At 34.4% G+C, this 26,079-nt stretch overlaps 2 long non-coding RNA genes across 2 annotated transcripts in view; one reads left to right on the top strand and one right to left on the bottom strand.

Moving 5' to 3' along the window:
• Window positions 1-3,236, top strand: part of LINC01829 (long intergenic non-protein coding RNA 1829) — a 91,963-nt gene extending 88,727 nt beyond the window's left edge. Inside the window, exons 7-8 of the long non-coding RNA NR_038844.1 lie at window positions 203-347; window positions 1,730-3,236. This is a non-coding gene — a long non-coding RNA (long intergenic non-protein coding RNA 1829). The remainder of the gene's footprint in view (window positions 1-202; window positions 348-1,729) is intronic.
• LINC01828 (long intergenic non-protein coding RNA 1828) overlaps window positions 1-26,079 on the bottom strand; it is a 202,799-nt gene that overhangs the window by 162,652 nt on the left and 14,068 nt on the right. The gene's annotated exons all lie outside the window — the stretch shown is intronic.

Genomic DNA, 26,079 nt, shown 5'->3' with positions numbered 1-26,079 from the left:
GTTCATGTTTCGAGTCATTTTTAGGTAGTTGCTGCTTGGCATAGTGCACGGAACTACACTCTCTGTTAGGAACAACAAACTGAGGACAAAAGATAATCTATTTCTATTTCAAATTAGTGCAGAACTGAGCTCAGTGCCCATGTGCCATGGCGCTCCTTGCTTTCATCATCTTCTTTTTTTTTTTGCATCTTCTTTTTTTCAGGTTAGTTCCATGACTTGACTAAATGGGGGCTTGGCTATCTTGACAGAGTCTCATTCCAGCCCTGTTCACATGCTCGGTGGTTGTGGAAATACAGACTCCAAGTCATTCAACACTTTTAGCACCTTCCTGAGACCATTTACTCTCTGTGAGTACTGTAGACATCAATACATATTTAGCCCAATCTCCTACTGTATTTACACCTACTGTTATCATCACTGACAAATGTAAAATGATGATCATCACAATCATGGCCTAGAGAAAGTGCAAGATCTTCAATCAGCAAAGAAAAATTAGATTATCTGCCCTTGACTGTTCTTCCTAACAAAATAATAAATTCATATTACAGAAAATTTTTCTTAAGAAAATTTTTCTTAAGCAAAACATGAACTCAAATTTTTTTAGCGTAATTTAGATGACAATTCCCTTTCAATCACATGGGCTATTTGGGCCTTGCATAAATTAGTCAGCAGAACTCAATTATTTTGCTGATTTCCACAAGAAATCCTTTCCCATCTAGCATTTCAAAATTAGAGTTATCTTTACTGAAGATACATTCACATTGTACCAGTGTACCTCCCTATTTTCCCTAAATCGCACCTGACATCTCTGTTTTCCCTCTTCCAGTGGTTCTCAAGTTTTTGTGTATATTGCCTGTGACGTCCATTACATGCAGATCAGGAAGCTTCATGTCTTGAGATTTTGATCTAATAGGTATGGGAGGAGGCTGAAGAATCTGGACTTTTATCAGGCACCCCAGAGATTATGATGTATTGTCACATTGAGAAAATAATGCTTACAGTCATTTCTTTACCAAACAGCCAAATAAGTTTTTTCTTCCATCTTTTACTCATCCTCCACAAAATGCCCAGCGCTTCTGAGTCTTTTAAAACACCAGTTATCCCTCCACACACCCGATATTAAATATCATTTTATTATAAAGGGCAATTTCATGATCAACCTTGGTTATCTCAGAGTTTCCTTGGGACCTTAGTCACTATTCCAAAAACTTTAAATCATAAACCCCTGCCCAAGAGAATAATTGAGCTTCTTTTATGAAGATAAAACCTCAATCAGAATATTAACAAATGCTCCAATTCAATGAGTAATTAATGTATTTGGACTTTTTTAACCTCAAGAACTAATTTTAATGAGGTCCACTAATAACTGTGACTAGATTAAGCCTTAGAGACCAGAGATTTTCAGTGTATATGTGTGTGTATCTATCTATATACACACATAAATGCATATATGTCTATATACACACATAAATGCATATATGTCTATATATACACACATATATTTATCTATATATATACACACATGTGGATATATACATATACATATATATATACACACACACACACAGACATTCTCATCAGTAGTTAGTCCAACAGACAAAAAGATAATATCAGATAGCTAAACTCACTAAGATTTTAAAAATGCAATTCAGGATATAATAGTTGTATCAATTTTTCTCCCCGAAACTACTGCTTAATGAAGAATTTTGCTTTATGGGTACAAATGCAGAAAATGGAGTCTACCTGCTTCCACCTGAGAGCTAAAGAACCTTCTCTTTGATCAAGCTGAGTTCCAGAGTTCCAAGTTTCCCAGGATTCAGAGATCCCTGGCCCAGCTGTGATATGCAGTCTCAAAACACAAAACATCTGGAGAGATGATATGAACAGTTCATCTTTCCCTATTTATATTTGAAGGCTAAGGCAATGTTTATGGAATAAAGAATTTGTTTAAATGAATGTCTGAACATTATGAATTCCTTGTTATACTTTATCTGGCTTCACAATTGATGTAGTGAACCAAGATCTCTCTATACATATACTCACATGCATACACATACACATAGGCTTATAGTCATAAAGCTATATAGTCATATATACATGTATCTATATATCAAAAAAGAGATTGTTATTTTTCTTTATGTACCTAGGGAAATCCCTGAACCTATTAAGGCCACTATATTCATTTCTCTAAAGTCTAAAAGCAGACTGGAAGGATGGAATATGAGTATAACACGAAAGTAATATTTTTCACAAAGTCATGGCTATTAAGAACCTTATAGTCTTTGAGTGGAGTGTATAATTTGAAATTAAAGTTTCATAACTGAGTATCCTTCTTTTTAGAAGAAAAATGTTCTCATAAATCTGTTACCCAAAATGCTTTTGAAAGAAAATTTACCATTTTCTTCAACTTTAAAATCATACTTGCAAGGGAAGCTCTGTGCAGAGATGTTTGGCATAAATATGAATGACAATATATAAAAACTATTACCACACTACTAAAAAATGTTGGGCAGCTTTGACCTGGTTATTTGATTGAACTTTCTGAATCTGATTTGTCAACTGAAGACAAGTAAAAGTTTTTTTACAAATTCTATCCTTAGCCTCTCAATTAATCTCAAATATTTGTTCAGAGAAATAATTGAAAATTCTGACTGTATCCTGACTGAAATGTGGATCACTGGGGGCCTCAAAGCTTCAGTGTGTTTAGTTCCCTATGGTTTTGAGGCACATGCCCTATGTGAACCTTTTGAAGGACAGAAAAATTCATAACTGACTAGCAATTGGTTAACTTTAGTTAAAAAGTGAAACACCTACTCTAGTGGTGCAAAAGATGTCTGCAAAGGGCAAAATCTTCAGCTTTGAAAGGCATTCAGCAATGTCAATAGACTAGCACTTGAGAGTCACCTAAAATTTATTTGTATTACTTTTCACCCAATTTTAAAGAAGAATATTTCTAAGATAAAAGCTTAAAACTTTTTAATTAAAAAAAAAAAACTAAACTCAGTACTCCTAAGCCTTCATAGATATATACTTCAGTATCTTGCATGACATTGAAAGCTCTAATAACCAAATTCTTTCCTGACTCCTAATTATGTGTCCTTGTTCTTCTGTTTAAAGTAACATTTTGTGTCTATTTGTGTATATGCATGTGTACACATTTGTGTGAGTTCACAAATGATTACTCTGATGAATGTTAATTTATATCAATCTAACCAAAATAAAATTAGAGAAATCTTATTTTGTTTTTTCATTTAAAGTTTTAAATTAGAAAAATCTAATTTTTTTAAAGTTTTATTTTTAATATTAATATGAATATGTTTGTGCATTAACTTATAGATTTGTGTTTAATTTTGCTTCAGTGATTTTTGCCACCTAAGGGCCTAGAACAACATTGTAGGCACTCAACATATTCATGTAATATAAATTAATTAGTAGGAAAAAATGAAGGCTACACTTTATAAAAATATTTTTATTTTACAAGTTTTGGTTTTCCTCTAGGAAACTGAATTAGTATAATAATTTGATGTTTTAATAGCTCTATTTATACCTACAAGTAACAAAAGTTTGTCTTGACAACAGAAGTGCAAATACTTTTACAAATATGTTACCCCTATGTTTTGTTAAGCACTTAAGTGGCTGATAACATTATTAGATACACTGCGTTATTATATATTTACCCCAATTAATTATTATTTCTTGAATTAAGTACTTAAAAATCTATGTGAATAATGACAAAATCTTTCATCATTTTGTGGTCTCTCACATTCTGCTCTCAGAATCATGGCCAGAAACAGAAGTCTCAAATCAGGTTTCCTTCTCAGCCACAGAAAATTCAGAGATTGACTTTCTCTTGGCTATTAGCAAGTCCATCCTGCCATGGTATCTCTCTGATGCCCTCAATGAGGCATTTTTAGTACTTTTTCCCAGCATTTCCATTCTTCTACATAAGTTTTGTAACTAGTCCATGATAGAGTAGCAGAGATTGCATCTACCTATCCATCTGGAGCAATAAAGAATGGTCAAAATAAATAGTAGAATAGTTTCAAGATGTTAGATATCAGTAAAAAAGATCAATCACCCCTGAGTGATGAGAAACATAAAAGGTGAGCCCTATAATTGCCCAGCTAAATGCCTTGAGTTTCCAAGCTGTGATGCAGAAAAAAGAAACTGAGGCAGAACCTTATCTCCGAGTTAAGGAAATAGAGCTGAGAGTCCAGGGAGAGCAGCTAGAGTTCACAGAAGAAAATCCTGGGAAGGGGGAATCTGCAAATAAAGGGAACTCCCGAGAGCTGCAGAGGACCCTCCTCAAGTACTCAGTTGAGTAATCATAAGCACATGTCTGAGGAAGCTACCCAAGGCTGGCAAAGAATACCTGAAAAGGGTTAAAATAACCAGTGCCTAACCTGGCACTGTTATTTTCATACACACGGGGCCAGGATTAGTAACTCTTCCCATCAGCAAGATTGGAAAAATTCATGGGTCATTTGGAAGAGTGCTGAGAAAGGTCTTGTCTCCGTAGAGAAAAATAATTATCTCTGTAATGATCACTGTCCTGTTTCTGCCTAACAAATCTTATATACGAATACCAAAAGGATCAAACTGCTTCTAAGTAATTTAAGTATGCCCCAGAATAGAGCTCAAGAATATTATTAAAGGTTCAAAATTATCCAACACCCAACAAGGCAATGCTTATACAATGGCTGGCATCCAATCAAAACTTACCAGGCATAGAAAAAAGCAGGAAAATCTCACCACTCCTATTCAACACAGTGTTGGAAGTTCTGGCCAGGGCAATCAGGCAGGAGAAAGAAATAAAGGGTATTCAATTAGGAAAAGAGGAAGTCAAATTGTCCCTGTTTGCAGATGACATGATTGTATATCTAGAAAACCCCATCATCTCAGCCCCAAATCTCCTTAAGCTGATAAGCAACTTAAGGAAAGTCTCAGGATACAAAATCAATGTGCAAAAATCACAAGCATTCTTATACACCAATAACAGACGAACAGAGAGCCAAATCATGAGTGAACTCCCATTCACAATGGCTTCAAAGAGAATAAAATACCTAGGAAGCCAACTTACAAGGGATGTGAAGGACCTCTTCAAGGAAAACTACAAACCACTGCTCAAGGAAATAAAAGAGGACACATACAAATGAAAGAACATTCCATGCTCATGGATAGGCAGAATCAATATCGTGAAAATGGCCATAGAATGGCAATCATTAAAAAGTCAGGAAACAACAGGTGCTGGAGAGGATGTGGAGAAATAGGAACACTTTTACATTGTTGGTGGGACTGTAAACTAGTTCAACCATTGTGGAAGACAGTGTGGCGATTCATCAGGGATCTAGAACTAGAAATACCATTTGACCCAGCCATCCCATTACTGGGTATATACCCAAAGGATTATAAATCATGCTGCTATAAAGAGATGCACACGTATGTTTATTGCAGCACTATTCACAATAGCAAAGACTTGGAACCAACCCAAATATCCATCAATGATAGATTGGATTAAGAAAATGTGGCACATATACACCATGGAATACTATGTAGCCATAAAAATGATGAATTCATGTCCTTTTAGGGACATGGATGAAGCTGGAAACCATCATTCTCAGCAAACTAGGGCAAGGACTAAAAACCAAACACCGTATGCTCTCACTAATAGGTGGGAATTGAACAACGAGAACACTTGGACACAGGAAGGGGAACATCACACACCTGGGCCTATTGTGGGGTGGGGGGGATGGGGGAGGGATAGCATTAGGAGAAATTCCTAATGTAAACGACGAGTTAATGGGTGCAGCAAACCAACATGGCACATGTATACATATGTAACAAACCTGCACGTTGTGCACAGGTACCCTAGAACTTAAAGTACAATAATAAAAAAAAAAGAAAGAAAAAAGCGGGAAAATCCAACCTAATAAATGCCTAAAGTAGAACAGAAAAAAGGTCTGAAATCAATAGTCTCAACTTAAACACACACACACACACACACACACACACACACACACACACACACACACAGAAAAAGAAAGTCAAATTCAACCCAACATAAGCAGAAAATAGGAACAGGAAATAGTAAAGTTTAGAGCAGGAGTCAATGAAATACAAAACAGGAAAACAGATGGGAAAATTAATGAAACCCAAAGCTGGCTCTTTGAGAACATCAATAATATTGATAAATCTCTAGTCAGACTGATTAGGAGATAAGTTATAAATTAACAACATCCAGAATGAGAGAGGTGAGGTGACATCACTACAGATATTATAGATATTGAAAGGGTAACAAGGAAATGTTTTGAACAACTTTATGCCAATAAATGTGACATATAGATGAAACTGGAAAATTCTTTAAGGCCACAAACAATCAAAGATTTTCTAAGAAGAAATAAATTGCCTTATTAATATACATCATTAAAGGAACTGAATTTATAATGTAAAACCTTCCACAAAGAAATTTTCAATTTCAGATGGTTTCACAGGTGAAATCTATCAAATATTTAAGGAAGATACAACACCAATTCTTCATACATTCTTCCAGAAAGTTAAAGAAATGAAATACTTTTCAACCCATTATAGGAGGCTACTTTTATCCTAATATCACAGCTGTAAAAATACATTACAGAAAAAAACAGATATCACTTATGAACAAAGATGCAAATATTCTAAACAAAATTATAGCACATCAAATCCAATGATATACAAAATTATTATTTTTGTTTTCTTTTAAAAAACTGTTATTTTAGGTTCAGTGGTACATGTACAGGTTTGTTATATAGGTAAACTTGTGTCTCAGAGGTTTATTGTACAGATTATTTTGTCACACAGGTACTAAGCTTATTATTACCCAAGAGTTATTTCCTCTGCTACTCTCCCTCCTCCCACCCTCCATCCTCAAGTAAGCTTTAGTGTCTATTGTTCCCTCCTTTGTGTCTATGTGTACTCAATGTTTAGCTCCCATTTGTAAGTGAGAACATGTGGTATTTGGTTTTATGATCCTATATTAGTTCACCTATGGCCTCCAGCTCCTTCCATGCTGCGGCAAAGGACATGATCTCATTCTTTTTATGGCTGTGTAGTATTTCATGGTGTATATGTGCCACATTTTCTTTATCCAGTCCACTATTGATGGGCATTTTGGTTAATTCCATGTCTTTGCTATCGTGAATAGTGGTGTGATGAACATACACATGCATGTATCTTTATGGTAGAAAAATTTATAGTTCTTTTGATATATGCCCAATAATGAGATTGTTGGGTTCAATGATAGATCTGTTTTAACATCCTTGAGAAATCGCCAAACGGATTTCCATAATGGTGGAGCTAATTTAAATTCCCACCAGCAGTGTATAGGCATTCCCTTTTCTCTGAAATCTTACCAGCATCTGTTACTTTTTGACATTTTAATAACAGCCATTCTGACTGGTGTGATATGGTATCTCATTGTGATTTTTATTTGCATTTCTCTACTAATCAGTGATATTGAGCTTTTTTTTCCCCAAATTCTTGTTGACTGCATGCATGTCTTCTTTTGAAAAGTGTCTTTTCACATCCTTTTCTCACTTTTTAATGAGGTTGTTTGTTTTTTCTTGTTAATATGTTTAAGTTCCTTATGGATGTGGGATATTAGACCTTTGTCGGATGCATAGTTTGCAAACATTTTCTCCCATACTGTAGATTGTCTGTTTACTCTGTTGAGTTTCTTTTGCAGTTTTCTTTAGTTTAATTAGATTCTATTTGTCAGTTTTTGCTTTTGTTGTAATTGTTTTTGATGTCTCTGTCAGGAAATCTTTGCCAGTTCCTATGTCCAGAATGATATTGCCTAGGTTGTCTTCCAGGGTTTTTATAGTTTTGGGTTTAACATTTAAGTCCTTAATTCATCTTGAGTTAATTTTTGTATGTGGTATAAGGAAAGGGCCCAGTTTCAATCTCCCTTATATGGCTAGCCAGTTATCCCAGCATCATTTATTGAATAGAGAGAGTACTTTCCCCATTGTTGGTTTCTGTCAGCTTTGTTGAAGATCAGATGGCTGTAGGTATGTAGCATTATTTCTGAGCTCTCTAACTTGTTCCATTAGTCTATGTGTCTGTTTTTGTACCAGTACCATGCTGTTTGGTTTACTGTAGTCCCTGCAGTATAGTTTGAAGTCTGGTAGCATGATGCAGCCTGCTTTGTTCCTTTTGCTTAGAATCACCTTTGCTATTCAAGCTATTTTTTGGTTCCATATGAATTTTAAAATAGTTTTTTTCTAGTTCTGTAAAGAACGTCATTGGTAGTTTGATAGGAATGGAATTGCATCTATATATTGCTTTGGGCAGTATGGCCATTTTAATGATATTCTTTCTATCTATGAGCATGGAATGTTTTTCCATTTGGGCTATCTCTGATTTCTTTGAGCAGTGTTTTGTAGTTCTTTTTGTAGAGATCTTTCACCTCCCTGGTTAGCTATATTCCTAGGTATTTTATTCTTTCTGTGGCAATTGTGAATGGGATTGTGTTCCTGATTTAGCAGCTCTCAGCTTGGCTGTTACAGGTGTATAGGAATGCTAATGATTACTGTACTATGATTTTGTATCCAAAAACTTTGTTGAAGTTATTTATCAGCTGAAGGAGCTTTGAGGCCAAGATTATGGGGTTTTCTAGACATGGAATCAGGTCAGGGATAGTTTGACTTCTTCTCTTCCTATTTGGATGCATTTTATACCTTTCTCTTGCCTCGTTGCCCTGACCAGGACTTCCAAAATTATGTTGAATAGAAGTGGTGAGAAAGGGAATCCTTGCCTTGTGCCAGTTTTCAAGGGGAATGCTTCCAGCTCCTGGTCATTCAGTATGATGTTGGCTGTGGGTTTGTCAGAGATGGCTCTTATTATATTGAGGTATGTTCCTAGTTGAGAGTTTTTAATGTGAAGGCATGTTGAATTTCATCAAAACCCCTTTCTAATATAAAAAGTTATAATACATATGACCAAGTGTAATTTATTCTAGCATTTGAGAGTGGTTGTATATTGCAAACTTAAATTCAATATATTAACAAAGTGAAATACAGGGATAAGCCATATACTTATCTCAATAGACAAAAAATAAAGCCATTGACAAAAACATCTAACATCCATTTCTGATAAAATTTCTTAGCAAAATAAAGATGAAATGAAACTTTCTTAACTTGATAAAAGATATCTCAATAAAAAGGCTACAGCAAACATCATGTGTAATAATTAAAAGACCTAAATGTTTTTGCCCTAATATTAAAAACAAGAGGACTACCATTTTCACCCCTATTGTTCAATATTGCACTGGAGTATTTGGCTTTTTTTTCATATCTTAACAGTATTTTTGAAATTATTCATTTCTTAAGTTCAGTTTATCAATTTGCTTTTTGTAGGTTGCAATTTATATGCCATGTCTTTAAAATTTTGCCTAAATCAAAGTCAGTATTTTCTTATTTTTCCCCAAAGCTATATAGTTTTCATTTTTATATTTAAAAATATAGGCCTATAATCCATTTTCAGTTCAATTCTGTTTGTAGTAAGAAGCAAGGATTGAGGTTAATTTTTCTTGCAAATATATATGCAATTGTTCTACCATAATTTGTTGAAATGACTATTATTTTACCACTTTGCACCTTTTTAAAAATAAGTGTGACTGCGCTTCTAGACTTTATCCTGTTTCATTGTTGTCTATCATGATGTCAATACTACAATTATCATGTAACTTTATAAATGAGTCTGTAAAATCGACTATTTCTTCTTTGTTCAACATTTCTTTGGCTATTTTATCTCCTTTACATTTCCACATGAATTTTAGAATCTACTTGTGAATTTTTCAAAACCTGTGCTGAGAATTTGACTGAGATTGCACTGAAGATTTATTCAGAAATACTTGATATCACGATAATACTGAGTCTTTTTAACCATGAACATGGTATATCTCTACTGTTATTTAAGTCTTACTTAATTTCTGTCAGCAATATTTTATGGTTTTCAGTGTTCCGATATTTCATACCTTTTATCAGTTGTATGCTTAAATATTTCATATTTTTATGCTATTGTAGATGGCATTGTTTTTAATTTCAATTTCTGATTGTTTATTGACAGTGCATAGACATACAAGAAAAACATACTTTTGTATACTGATCTTGTATTGTGCAATGTGGGTAAACTCATTTATTTGTTCTGTTAGTCTTTTATTAGATTTCATCAAGTTTTCCACATAAATGTTATCTGAAAAAAAATTTTTATTTCTTCCTATCCAATATGGATGTCCTTTATTTCTTTTCCTTGCCTTTCCACACTGTCTAGACCCTTCAGCTCTCCAGTACAACACTGAATGGAAGTGGTGAGCAATGATATCCTTGTCTTGTTCCTAATGTTAGAAGAAAAGTATTCAGCCTTTCACCACTAAATATGACATTAGCTATAAGTCTTTCATAGATTCATATCTCAAGTTGAGGAAGTTCTCTTTTATTTCTATATATTGCAGATTTTTATCATGGAAAATATTGGATTTTGTCAAATGCCCTTCCTGCATCTATTGAGATGGTAATATGGTTTTTTTTAGTTTTTTTTTGTTTGTTTGAAACTAGTAAATTCTAGTAACTGATTTTTGAATATTAGACAACCTTACATTCCTCAGATAAACTCTGTTTGGTCATGTTTGACAGTTTCTTAAAAAGTTAAACAAACAACTACCATATAATCTAGTGACTCCACTTTTAGGTCTTTACCCAAGTGAAATGAATGTATATGTCAATACAAATCATATTTCTGACAACAGACTTCTATCTAGACTATAATAAAAACTGTCAAATTCAATGGTAAGAAAACAAACACCACTAAAAGACTAAGTAAAATATCTGAGTAGACACTTCACTGAAGAAGATGGCAATGAAGTATGTGAAAAGATTCTTAACCATTAAGAAAGTACAAATTAAGACCACAACAAGATAATACTTGTATTAGTCAATTTTCACATTGCTGATAAAGACGTACCTGAGACTGGGAAGAAAAAGAGGTTTAATTGGACTTACAGTTCCACATGGCTGAGGAGACTTCAGAATCATGGCGGGAGGTGAAAGGCACTTCTTACATGGTGGTGGCAAGAGAAAATGAGGAAAAAGAAAAGCGGAAACTCCTGATAAACCCATCAGATCTTGTGAGACTTATTCACTATCATGAGAATAGCATGGGAAATACCAGGCCCCATGATGCAATTACCTCTCCCTGGATCCCTCCCACAACATGTGGGAATTCTGGGAGATACAGTTCAAGTTGGGATTTGGGTGGGGACACAACCAAACCATACCATTACTACACACTATTAGAATGGCAAAAAAAAAAAAAAAAAAAAAAGAAAGAAAGAAAAAAGAAAGGAAAACATGCAATACCAAATGCTGAGGAGGATGTGAAGCCACAGGATATTTCATATATCACTGGTGGAAATATAAAATCTACAATCAGTAAGAAAAAGAATCTGGCAAGTTTTTAATAAAGTTATACCTATGTTTATCATATTTCCTATTCCTAATTATTTACCCTGGAGAAAAAAATAACTTACATTCATGAAAACCTGAATGTGAATGCTTAGCAGTAATTGCCCCAAACTGAAAACAACTCATATATTTTTTAACTGGTGAACAGACAAAGACACGTTGCTGTATCCATCCAATGGGATACTAACTACTCAGCAATAAAAAAGAACAAAATATTGTTTCACACAACACTATGAATGAATTTCAAATTCATGCTGCTTAGTAAAATAACTGAAAACCAAAATGTTACATATTGTATAATGTAATTTATATGACATTCTGAAAAAGGCAAAACTACTGTGAAATTACTGAGCAGTGGTGCCAGGAATTGGGTGTTGGAGGAGATGTTGATTTTAAAGAAGCTGGAGAACTTCTGGGTTGGTGATGATAGAACTGTTCTATATCATTGTGGTGGATAAAACTTTATACATTTATCAAACCTATAGGGTTGTCACACTTGTTTCCAAATGGCTGCACCATTTTACATTCCCACCAGCACCGTGCAAGCCTTCCATTTTTCCACATCTTCACCAAGACTTCTTATCTCACTTCTTTTTTGTTAATGAAGCATATTGCAATTTATCAGTTATCAGTGCAATGTGTTCAGCACATCTATTTGCGTGTCAAATGTATCATTTTAATATTTCCTTTCACATGCAATATACATGTATTCACAAAATGTTGAGGCTGCCCCCAAGCATTTCTATTATTTCTCTTTTCCTTTTATTTTCCTTTTTTCTTCTCTGCTTCATCTACAGTGGCTTTATCTTCCTATGTGCTCTTCAATTTGACTGTAAAGAAGGCTCTGTAAAGGGAGGGCAGTGTACTGCACATTAGCTCTTGTACCTTCACAATGCTTGGCACATAACTTTTTATTATCTGACTTCTTGATCATTGCCATCTTAGTGGGTGTGAAGTAATAGCGCATTGTAATTTTTATTTGCATTTTCCTGATGACTAATAACATTGAGAATCTTTCTATGTGCTTATTGGCCATTAGTACATAATGAGAGGTGTGTGTTCTTGAGTAACTAATAATAAAACTTATTCTTCTTCTTATAAACGTACTGTAACAACTCCCTATCATGACATTAAGGTTCTAGTAAGAACACTAAATATTCCCTCTGATGGCCATGATCTTTCAAAAAGTTATTGGGAGACATTCGAGATGAATAAATATATGGGGAAACTATACATAAAAACTACAAATCACACCAACTTGGAAAAAGACTTCAAGTGACAGTATAGGAGATGGAGAAAACAAAATCCTTAGCATTCATTACTTGTTATATTAATAACCTGGGAAGGATTTCTTATTGAAGACACTTTATTCAAATGTTGACTGTAACTCCTTGGAATAGTACTTACTTGCTTTATCAGTGTATGCGGAATAGCTGGGCTCTCAATTTTTGTTGAGGTCTGAAGAGAATTATTATGTAGATAAAAGTTCATGGAAGTGTGCTTTATTTTGACTAAAAGCTTATCTGCATGTCATGCATTTTCTAATAATGTCTCCTCTTGAAGGTAGGTTTTACCTCAAGGCAGTATTTAGAAGCTATATTGTCAGCTTTTAATAGAATAAATCAATAAACCATTCAAATCATTTAATATTCTCAGACTTATCAATGCAGACCAAAAGGTGGGAGGAAAATAACACTGACAATGTTTATGATCAACTTTTTTCACCTTAATATAAACATAAAGTCCGAGACACATAGGGGGAAGTTCTAATATGGAGGTTCTAATATGCACAGGTTATATGTCTAATGTTATGACATGTTTTTTATCGTTTAAATTTAAATACATTTTTAAATGTCATTATACTCAGACCCATAAAGTAGAAGTTCTTAATTTCCAAACATATGGGAATTTCAAGCTATCTATTTTATTATATTACTATTATCTTTTCATGGAGATGAGGTCTCACTACGTTACCCAGGCTGGTCTCAAACCCCTGCGCTCAAGTGATCCTCCTGCCTTGGCCTCCCAAAGTGCTGGGATTACAGGCATAAGCCACCACGCCTAAAAAGTTGTCTTTTTATTAATGATTTCTGGCACTATACCATATGTGGTGTCAAACCTCTGAAATGTATTAATTTTTACTTTATGGCCCAGTGTATGGTCTATTTTTGCAAATGTTTTATGTGTACTTAAAAACAATATTTATTCCTCAGTTGTTGAAGGGAGTGGTTTTCTATATATCAATGTTTCTTAAACTATCTGCAGTAAAGAACAAGATTTTTTTAAATTTTAAATTTATCATAGACAAAAACTTCGTAAAATACAATAAAAATAAATTACTAACAAATAGAATGGAAAAAGTAAAAAAGTATAGGCTTAGATTTCTTATTATTAGATCCAAAAACATAAAATTGCTCTCATTAAATGTCTATTAAGGTTTCTTTCACATATTTTGTTGTGGAAAAAATAATTTGTGGATCCGCACTAATCTGGTGCGTGAACCACCCTTTGAACAGCATTACTCTGCATTTCTGTTGAGTCTGATTTGGTAATTGTGTTGTTTATATCCACTAGATCCTCATTAATATTTTGTCATATTCTGTCAATTCCTGAAAGAGGTGTTTTAAAATCTTCTAATCTGATCATGGGTATGTTTATAAACTCCTTTCATTCTGTACGATTGTGTATCATATAAGTTCCAGCTGTTCTTAGGTACATAAATATTTAGAATTGCTTCTATTTCTGATATATTAAAATTTATCTTTACATAGTGAACGCTTTGTCTATAATAATGCTATTTCCTTTAAATCTACTTTGTCTGTTATTGATATATCTACAGTAGCATTCTTTTGGTCAGCCTTTTATATATACCTATATTTAGGTGTGTGTGTATATATATATATATTATATATAGTCTTATAATAAATATATACATATACCTGTATATATAATGTGTATGTGTTTCCCTTATGTTTTAGAAGTAAATTTTCTTAACTGCAAAAACTATTTTTAATACAATGCAATCTATTACTCTATATTTTAACTTCAGCGTGTACTCCTTCTATGTCTAACATATGATGTGTTTTCTATTTGTCCTGTTATGTTTCTTTTTTCCCCTTTATTCCTTTGGATAAATTTTTTTATTTTTTTTAACTTTTTTAATTTTTTTATTTTTATTTTTGAGATGGAGTCTCGCTCTGTCACCCAGGCTGGAGTGCAATGGCACAATCTCGGCTCACTGCAGCCTCTGCCTCCTGGGTTCAAGCGATTCTCCTGCCTCAGCCTCCTGAGTAGCTGGGATTACAGGTACCCGCCACCACACCCAGCTAATTTTTTGTATTTTTAGTAGAGACAGGGTTTCACCATGTTAGCCAGGATCCTTTAGATAAATTTTATCTCCTTGTTTCCTCCTATTTATTTTCAGATCATATACTGTTTTAGTATTCTTTTGGTCATTATCCCAGAAAGTACATTGTGCATTAATAACATTAAACTTATTCCAGTCTAATTTTAATCAATAAATTTACCCTTTTCCCAGACCAGGCAAAGAATTTAGAATAACGTAAGTTGCCACCTCTGCTAATATGATTATGCATTTTAATTATCTGTCTGTAACTCTTTTTCTCTCTGTAACTAGCTATCACAAGATATTGTTTGTGATATAGTTTGGCTCTGTGTCCCCAGGCAAATCTCATCTCGAACTGTAACCCCCACGTGTTGAGGGAGGTACCTGGTGGGAGGTGATTGGTTCATGGGGCAGTTTCCTCCATAATGTTCCATGACAGTGAGAGAGTTCTCACAAGATAGTTTAAAAGTTTGGCACTTCAAGTTTCCAGAGGCCTCTCCAGCTATGTGGAACTGTGAGTTAATTAAACCTTTTTTCTTTATAAATTACCCAGTCTCAGGCAGTTCTTTATGGCAGTGTGAAAACGGACTAATACAGTTTGTAAAGTCAAAACTTATTTTGACTTATTTCATTTTCTCCTTATTCATGTCTGTATTTATGACCTTCCTTCTATTTCCCTCTAGCACAATTTTCCTTTTACTTGAAGAACACCCATTGGAATTTATTAATTGTAGGTCAGCAATAGTGAACTCATTTGTGTGTGTATGTGTGTTTGTATTTCATCTTCACGCTTAAAGACTAATACAAGTGTGTTTATTTTTTCCTCAACATATTGAAGATGATATTGTGCTGTTGTCATTTGACTTTTATTGCTGCTGTTAAATTGTCCACTGTTAATTTGGTTGGTGAACTTTTGCAGATGTATTTTTCTCCTCCTACTTGCTTTTAACATTTTCACTTTGGTTCTACTGTTTTACTATGATGTATTTTTCTGTAAATTTTTTTCTATTTGCCCTGAGATCTATTGGGATTCTTGAACTGTGAATTGATTTTTTATAATTAGTCCTGGAAAGTTCTTAACCACACTTTTTTTCAATAGCCTTCTCTTTCATTCTCTCTTATGGTCTTATGGGAATTGGATCATACTTCACCTGATCTTCTGTATTTTCCATTTATCTGTGTCTCTGTATTTTCATCTTGATATTTTCTTTTCACCTCTTTAGTTCCACTAATTTTTTATTTAATAGCTTCTAATCTATTGACGTTTTTAAGGTTTAATATTTATCTATGTTCCTTTTAAAAATACACTGTGTCAGTCAGGTGAGGTGGCTCCCGCCTGTAATCCCAGCACTTTGGGAGGCCGAGGAAGGCGGATCACGAGGTCAGGAGTTTGAGACCAGCCTGACCAACATGGTGAAACCCTGTCTCTACTAAAAATACAAAAATTAGCCGGGTGTGGTGGCATGCGCCTATAATCCCAGCTACTCAGGAGGCTGAGGCAGGAGAATGGCTTGAACCTGGGAGGCGGCGGTTGCAGTGAGCCGAGATCGTGCCACTGCAATCCAGCCTGGGCAACAGGGTGAGACTCCGTCTCAAAAAAAAAATACACTTCAGTAATTTCTGTTTTCAACACACACTTCTGGTAAAGCCAAGGCTAAAAATATTGGACCTGAGTAGCTTTTTCTATTTGTTTCTGTCTCTGTGTCTGTGTGTATATCTTTGTTTCCTTTTTTGTCCTTTTTTACAGTCTTTATCATTTTTTTCTGTACTCAATTAAAAGCTAAAGGCTTGGCCATTTCTTATTAATAAGAAGTAAATTATTACTATTCACCCCTCCTCCCAGCTCAAACATTTGTGACAGCAAATGAATCCTACTTAACACATTTTTCTTCTGTCATTGTTTCTTCCTAACTTTCCTTCTTTCTTTTCTTACTTCCCTCCTTCATTAGAATTCTATTAGGCAGGCTCAAGACAGAAGAGAAGGCAGCATGATGGTGACCAAGGTGCATACAAGGAGGCCATTAAAGCAAGAAAGCAGTTAGTACAATCAGAAGTTTACCACATGATATCAAATATACTAGGAGTCAGGGTTCTCACTCAGAGATGAGAAATACAAAAATAAAAATGGGAAAGCTAGAATAAATCCTGTAGTTTAGTAATAAAATTGAAGAAGTATAAATATATATAGTATGTATGTTTATTATATATAATTTATATATTAGTGTAATGTATACACATAGTATACATTTTAACTTCTTAGCTTTATTCTAGTCTCTCGCTATATAATATTCATATATAATATATGTTATAAATTATATAAATATATAATTATATAGTTTATATATAAATATATATTTGTTACCATATATAATATGTATATTTGTTACTGTCCACTAAGAGAGACTAAGAGCAGTGACATCCCAGTAGCAATAAACATGTGTATCATACAGCTATTGGTTTCTATTTGATATTCTCCACTAAAGGAACCAGGGCTGCTTGGAAAATGGCTGATTTCAGGGCATCAGTGGGGAAAAACAAGATGAACTAAAATAATCTCCTGTGCCAGAAGGTAAGAAAGTGCTTAAAAAATGAGCTTGTAGGAGTTCTCACTAGACAAATCTGGGACAATTTAATAATTAAAAGAAATATTTATAGTAACAGATTATAACCATGGTAATAAAATAGGAACCCACAAGTTTACATTCCTATAAATGAATACATCATTCTACTTTAAAATAAAAAGTCAACTAATAAATGAGATCAATAGTATTATTTTAATTTTACAGCTGAGGAAACGGAAGCAAAATGAGGCTTGGTGAGGTTAATTGTTTTTCCCACTGTCACAGAACTAGTAAGTGATATATTCAGGACATCAACCCAAATCTGCCTGACTCTAGAGTCCAAGTTCTTAACCACTACATTTAGTCTCTCATGTCTGATCTTCTGACTTTCAGACCAAGTCTAGACCTCCTGGCCTTATTATTATTATTATTTTTAGACAGAGTCTCGCTCTGTTGCCCAGGCTGGAGTGCAGTGGCATGATCTCAGCTTCACTGCAACCTCCTCCTCCCAGGTTCAAGCGATTCTCCTGCCTCAGCCTTCTGAGTAGCTGGGATTACAAGTGCCCACCACCATGCCCAGCTACTTTTTATATTTTTGGTAGAGACAGAGTTTCACTGTTAGTTAGGCTGGTCTCAAACACCTGACCTTGTGATTCACCCACCTTGGCCTCCCAAAGTGCTAGGATTACAGGTGTGAGCCACTGCACCCGGCCCTCCTGGCCTTATGGTTGGCTTTCTCTGAGGGTTGGCAACCAGCCCAGTAGTTATAATTACATAATGGAACTGGGAGTCCCGTGGCTATCATCACAAATGAATCTACCTTTCATCTTTTCCTGAAACCTTCCTTAGCATCCTACTCTGCTCCAGCTTCCCCACTTCTAACAGAAATGCTGTAGATGAACATTCATACTTACAACATTTCCCTGGTTTGGTTTTTGCCTTTAGGAGTTGGAATTACTACTGATGTGATTTTGTTTTAAAGAGCTCAGTTAAACAAAACCTTCTTGTGAGAGGACCCAGTTAGCAGAAAGGAAATCCCTGTGCAACTCTCCCTTGCCTCTGAAAGAGTAGAACCAGCCAGCAGTTCAGACAACAGAGCATATTTTGCAATAAACCTTAAGCTAGCTGTTATAGGACACCAGATGCCAGCCAAACTCAACCTCTTCCCAGGTCTCCCATGCTAGAACTTTCCTTTCTAATCATAGTAAAAGGTTTGCAGGCACAGTAAAATTCAAAATAAAATCAGACTTGTTAAAAGCAGGTTTGCTCTTGAAATAGGGCAAATTAGTTATAGTCTGAGTTTTTAATACCATTTGACTGATTGGCTAAGACTTGGCTTCCACAGAACATAATAGCACTGAGATTTAAGAAAAGGACCTTTCAATTTGACCACACAGTCCTTATAACCACCAATTGACATATGGCCACATGTCCTTCTTCATGCCACAACTTGGCAATAGTCTGTGTTTTGTGCCCTGAAATACTGAAATTCTAAGCCAAATTCATGAGAGAATTAGTCATGGACTTCGCTTCTCTTTGACTTCACATGGCAAAGGTAAATCTGTGAATGCTTATAATCACAATTATGGGTTTGGCACATAATATTAATGATGCAGTATCTTATGCCTAGTTTCATAACATTACAAGGTAGAGTTAGCCAACAGCCACTAGGACTGGATTAAGGATCTGTGGGGTACTGGCACATGTAGTAATTTACCAGCTTTCCCTTCCATTCCCCTGACATAACAGATTATCTTTGAGGAAAAAATTATTATTCACTGTGAAATCAAACACAACTACAATTCAAGTGTAAACCACAAATCAAATATATGCTTCCATGGAATGTCCAATTTGAACATGAGAGATAAATAAATTAGAATGTGGAGTTTCCTTATGGAGTAAATATAAACCTTTGACTTTTAATCTGGACTTGAATATTAGAAAGTGGCTACTTTAAATAAGTGTGATTAGTAAATTAAGGTGATATTCTTTCGTCAGTCCTGATGGGCAGGTTGCAGATAAGAGACCCAGATGATGATTTCTATCTCTTTGGTGTATGTTTATCTCCTGAGAGGATGCTGTCATATACCAAGTAGGAATCCTTACTCTGCAAGTGTTTCTTATCTGTAAGAACAGCAATGCTCTTCCTTAATTAGGTGTTTTAGCCCCATTTTCATCACAGCTGCCACCACAATCATCTTCATCATTAACATCAATTAATACTGAGTGCTCATTGAATGATAAATACTAGGTTAAATAAAGGATACCACATGTGGAGTAAAGTCCAGCAAAAATTCAAACGTAGTATCAGAGAATCAGAATCAGAAAACTATGAAATTTTAAGATCCCTCCTTTTCCCAAAACACCCTTTATGAAACCTGTGACCTAAATCTTTGTTACAATTTGCTTGTGTCTTCATCTAGACCTCATGGGAAGTCTGCCATTCCGCTGCCAATATATTTGAGGATTCTTAATGGATGTCTGTACAGACAAAGAAGGAATGCTTCCCCTTACCCTCTGAAGATACCCTGAAAATGAACTGACAAAAGGTGGATTAATAGGAGAAGGCGGCATACAAATTTACTTTAATATGCATAGAACAGTGGAGTCCCAGAAGAATGGTTACCCTATAACCCAATGGGCTACTGATACTGATATACCCTTCGTCATAGGGGGGAAAGGAGATGGGGGAATGTGGTAACTTGAAGAATAGTAAATGATTTTTAGGGGGGAAATAAATGGGCCTAATGCTTAGACAATGGTTAGTAAATAATTTTCTTTAACAATTGAATAGGACAAAAAGCAGACAATGGTTTGGGACAAAGTCTGTCTGAGCTCTAGGTGTGATGTATATTTTTCAGTCTCTTCATCTGTAATAAGCTTTAATCTTCTCTGGATAATGGAATTCCAGGGACGGCAATTATGTTCCTCTTTTGGAGGCGTAGTTTCTAAGTAGGTAAGGGAGCTTTATAGAATAGTTTCATCCTGTGCTTTTGGAGAGGTAGAAGATTGAGAGAAGGCATATGGGGAAGGTCAGAGAGACCTTGGGGCTTCATGATGTCAAAGGGCAAATTTCACGGTTATGTTTTCTGAGCACCAACAGGACTTATGTCTCCTAGTCATTTCTGGCTCTGATTCTTTTCACCTCCTGCATACTGTCCCTTGTAGTGTATCGTATTGCGCCTTGGTAGACCCTGCTCCAAGTTTAGATCTTTATTTCCTCCAAAATTACTCAAGATCAAAACCGATTGTTATCAAGGGTAGAAGTTAGGTGAGCAGGGATGGGGAGTTAAGGAGATATTTAGCACATCAAAACAGAAAATAACAAAAACTTAAAATTGAATATGATGAGGCTTTCAAATCCTTAAAAGTCTCTTGACAATATCTTCCATGAGGAGAGTCTTGTGGACCCTTTCTTCTCAGGTCCCAGCCTCCTGTAGCTTCTGGCTTTCTACTCCTCTCTTAGCTCACCTTATCTGACTTCTAACCCTTCCTTCTAACTGCCCCTTCCATCTCTGGCTGCCAAACATTCAAACTTTATATCGTCTCATACTGAGTAAGTTATTTGTTATTCTCCTACATGTTCTGGACTATGTGTTTGGCATATTTTAAATAACCAAAAGACCAAGAGATGATGATTCTGCTAAGCAACAAAAGCTATCTGTTCTAAGAGATCATTTTAATATGAGATTCTAATCATTGAATATAAATTTGTATGCACATCTACATAAATATACACACACACTTTCCCCAGCATGTGCACGTGCATGCACACACAAATTTTCATTCCAAACGCAATAGGACATCTTTAGATTGGCCTGGCTCTCACTTCAAAACAACTGCTAAGTTTTACAAACCTCCCAAAAGACAGAATAATCCATTATGCAAATCATGTATTTAAATATACATTTAAAAAATATAGAGAGAGTTTAATGGATAGATGGAGGGGGTGGTTTATATTTCATATCCGACACCAAACTTCCCCTCAGATTGTCTAGTTTCCTCACTCCCCAGCATCTTAATTCCTATGGCAGCTATCACTTCCTGTCTCTTTTGTCCTCACAGCCTCTTCTGTCTTATTTCCCTTCAGGTTTCGTCTCCTTCCTATATCTGCTCTTCTTTTCTTCCCTTACTAGGATCTTCTTTTCTAAGTGTTTCCATCCTTTTTATGCTGTTCAGTAGAAGGTTTCTTCAATATGATTCACCACAAATCACCTTGCTCAGCGTAACAAAAGACTTGTATTTTTTTAAGCTAGTGGCAAGGGGTTATAAATTCTGGCAATACTTTTTAGATTTTACATTTGTAACAGGAGAATGCATCATAATTTCAAATGTTCATGCCATTTGATCCAGCATTAACTCTTAGTAATTTATCCTTAAATATACCTTCACACAAGATGTTTGTATAAAGTGATGTAATCACCCAATGGGTTCATTTTGCCCACTGCCCAGATAGGGCCAATTTATCAAAACAGGGGAATTGCAATAGAGAAAGACTTTACTACAAGTAAAGCCAGCTAAACAGGAGACCAAAGTTTTATTATTACTCAGATTGGCCTCCTCCAAAATACAGAAGCTAGGATTTTTTCAAGGATAGTTTGGTGGGCAGGGGGCTAGGGAAAGTGTGCTGCTGACTGGTTGGGGCTACAATCATAGGGATGTGGAAAATGATGCACTGAGTCCACTTCTGGGTGGAGGTCACAGAGGAGTTGCTGGTCTAGGTGGGGCCATCTAATTGTCAGAAATACAAAAGCCTGAAAAGACATCTCAAAAGGCAAATCTTAGGTTCTGACAATTAGAGAAGTTGAAAATCTTGTGACCTCTGGAATAATGGCTGGTGATCATTTAACTACACCTACATCTTAGCAGAATTCAGGCCCCTCTCATCCTCCTAGTGTTGGCCTTTCATTAATCTGACAAAGGCAGTTTAGTTTTGGAAAGGGCTATTAGCAATTAAATTTTGAGCTAAGTTTCTCCCAAAGTTAGCTTGGCCCCATCCAGGAATGATCAAGGGCAGTTTGGAGGTTAAAGGCAAGATGCAGTTGGATAGGACATCTCTCTTTCACTGTCATAATTTTCTTACTGCTATAATTTTTGCAAAGGTGGTTTTGGTTATTTATTGTAGCCTTATTTCTAGCAGATAAAGATGGGAGAAAAACATGAAAGCCCATTAATAAGGGGCAGTTTAAGTAAATAATGCAGAGTCAATAAAACATACTCTGGATGTCATGCAGATGTCATAAAAAATTTCAGGAAAAAAGTTAGGGAAAAAATTTGGTACATAAATGAAAAGATTTCCAAGGTATATTATTAAACAAGAAATCTAGGCACAAGAGAGTTTAAATAGCATGCCACCACTGAAAATGTATATTTTTTTCTTTATATACAAAAAAGTTTTCTAGAAGAGCAAGCAAGAAATTACTAACAATTGGTTAATGATGTAAACTTGTTGGAACCTGTTTGGGGTGGATCTAATTCGTATGTATTAAACTCCATGCCCTAAAAACAGAGAAAATACCTTTTAGTTTCCTCCATGGAAAAAATGGACTACAGGATAGCATTTGAGAATAGTAAAAATTAATACATCTAAACTATTTTTATGAAGCAAACATATCATGTTAAAGCCTTAAAATGCATAAAAAGAACAGTGCAGATCAACCTCTCTTGGAAATATTAACATAAATCCCAAGTAATATATAATTAGAAAGACTAACAGTTCATGCAGAGAATTCATCTTCCTGACCAAGTAGAGTTTATTCCAGTGATGCAACAATAATGTTCCACATTAATAGATTAAAAGGGAAAATATCATCAAATCTCTGTAGGTGCTGACAAGGCAAAATTTTATATCAAGTCTTGATTTAGAAAATAAACTGAGATAAAAAAAGAAATATACAAACATTTTATATAAAATAGGAAAGATTAACATTTTGTAACAAAATGGAAATTGGTGTACATGTATTTCAATGAAGGTCAATGCCATGTCACATTAGATGTATTACCAGTAAAATCCAGAACACCACCAAGATGTTAAATATCACCAGCATTATTTATTACCATTTTGGAGGCACTAGCCATAGTAATAAAGCAGGAAAAAAATAGGTAAACATTATTCAGATGGGGAAACACAAGGCAGAATCACCATTATTTTTAGATGTTATGATTGTGCACATGGAAAACCCCAAAGACTTAACAGAATGATGTATTCCAAACAATGAGATAATACAGAAATGTGGATGAGTAAAAAAAAAATTCCAAATCTACCACCTTCCTATACAGCAAAAACAACAAATTACAAGATATGGAAGAAAACATATCCAAATTACAAAAAAAAGCCATAAAATATTTAAGGAAAAAACAAGACAAACAGAATCTATAATCTATAAAAGAAAAAATTTAAAATCATACTATGGATCAAAAGGGAGACTTGAACAAAAGGAACAAATAGAATCTTTGTGAAGAGAAAGATTAAATATCATAAAGACACCATTTCTCCTAAAACTAAAATTACACTTAAGATAAAATAAAAATAACTGATGTTTAAAAGTAAATGCACTGAGTTTATTATCCATATGGAAAAAGAAACAAGAATGAATAACCAAGAAATTTCAAAATTAAAAGGAATTAAGAGAACTAGCTCTAATAGATACATCATATTACAAATGCACACACATACACACATATATATATTTAAAAGAATAAATGTCCAACTAATAGAGGGACAGATTAATGGAATAGAATAGAGAGTGTAGACACAGACCTGGTACATGTTAAAATTAAGTATATATTAAAAAGTTGGCATTAGTAGATTAGCAGAGAAAAGATGGATTTATTTAATAATTTATATTAATGCCCCTGATAAGCCATATGGTAAAATTGGATCTCTAACTTATACCATATTCCAAAATAAATGCCAAATGGATCAAAGATTTTATCATGAAAATGAACAGAGAACTAAGAGAGAGAAACATGGAAGTTTTAAAAATTTTTTCAAAGTGGAAAATGCCTTTATAACTATGTCACAAAACCCAGAAACTATCAAAGGAAACCTGAGAAAATATACTTTCAAAATCTACTTGTCTAAAAAAAGACACCACAATTAAGATCAAATATCAAATGAAACTGGGAAAATGCACCTAAAATACATGTCACAGGGAATATGATAAATTCTTATAAAGATCTCCTATGATTTAGTTTTTAAAAGCCAATAGAAAAACTAGGCAAGGAGCATGAACAGATAGTTCTCAACAAAGGAGAAACAATTATCTTCAAAAATATGTAAGGAAAGCTCTTTCATAAACAGTGAAACATAAAATTTAAACCCTCAGATGGCATTTATTTTTCACCTACAAGTTTGACAAAGATCAAACAAGCTGATTACATGCTGTACCTATTTGGTGAAAGTGGCATTCTCCTACAAACTTGGTAGAAGTATATATTGGTACAATATCTATAGAAGACAATCTATCATTATCTATCAAAATCAAAAATGTTTATTTGCTTGACCCTGTAATTTTACTTCTGGGAACTTACCCTGAAGACACACACATATATAGGTACAATAATGTATGTATAGGAGTGACTGGTATTGCATTGTCATTGACAAAAATACAAAAACAAAAAGTAAAAGAAACAATCAAAATCTCCATTAATAAAGGATTATCTGTGAATAAACCTTGATTCATAAAAGATTAATTAAGGTTATATAAATTATGGCAAATTCAAATGATACAAAACTCTTCAAGTGCAAAAAGGCATGAGTCAATTACATGCACTAAAATGAACAGATTTTGAGAAAGGAATAAGTGAAAAAAAGGTACAAAAACTGAGTATGTTTATAAAATACAGAGCATGTTACATAAAAGTGTATAGTTATACATTGAGAATGTGTGTGGAAATACATAAGAAACTGGTAAGAGTTCTCCTTGCCCCTGGAGAGGAGAACCAGGAAACTCACTTTTCACTATTTTGGGTTCTTGGAATTACCTATCATTTGCATGTTTTACCTATTTATAAATACAGTTAAAAAGAATTACCAGATGGAAAAGTGAGTCAGCTGTGGCCTGACTTGGTTGTTATAAAAGCAATCTATTCATGCCATTGTTGCCTCAGTTGAGTTATTTTGTATTTGGGAACATTTCATCCTTGTTTTAAATATATTTTTAAAATATTACATTACAATCCAACATTATACAATTTTATATATTATATATACAAACAAAAATTAGGCATAAATCAGTTATGATAATTAAAACTGGTAAAAATTGTAAAATCCTTTGAAGACCTCTAGAATTTTCTAAAGTAGAGACTTTGGTGTCACTGAAATAAATTTCATGAAGGACAATCATGTAAGAACTCAACAACTCTTTGCCAAAAGCTTTTGTCTGATAATTCAAGCAAAGCTGTTTATTTAACTTTCAGCATAAAACCAGAGTAGTTTTCAATATGCCTTGAAATCCCACTGAGTCAAAGATGCTAAACAGGTCAAGACTTCCAGGCTTTCACCCATGCCACATGCAGACACTGCTCACTGAAAGTGATGTTAAAGATTATGAGAAAACTTAGACTCCAGTTGAAACCATACTACTGAAGAATTAGTAATTAATTTTTTGGAAAATATTTGCTATTGTGGGGAAAGTGTGTCATATGGTTTGGATCCATGTTCCCACCCAAA

This window comes from Homo sapiens, chromosome 2 (genome assembly GCF_000001405.40).
Source record: "Homo sapiens chromosome 2, GRCh38.p14 Primary Assembly".
Taxonomy (NCBI): domain Eukaryota; kingdom Metazoa; phylum Chordata; class Mammalia; order Primates; family Hominidae; genus Homo; species Homo sapiens.
This window is presented reverse-complemented; position numbering and strand designations above follow the sequence as displayed.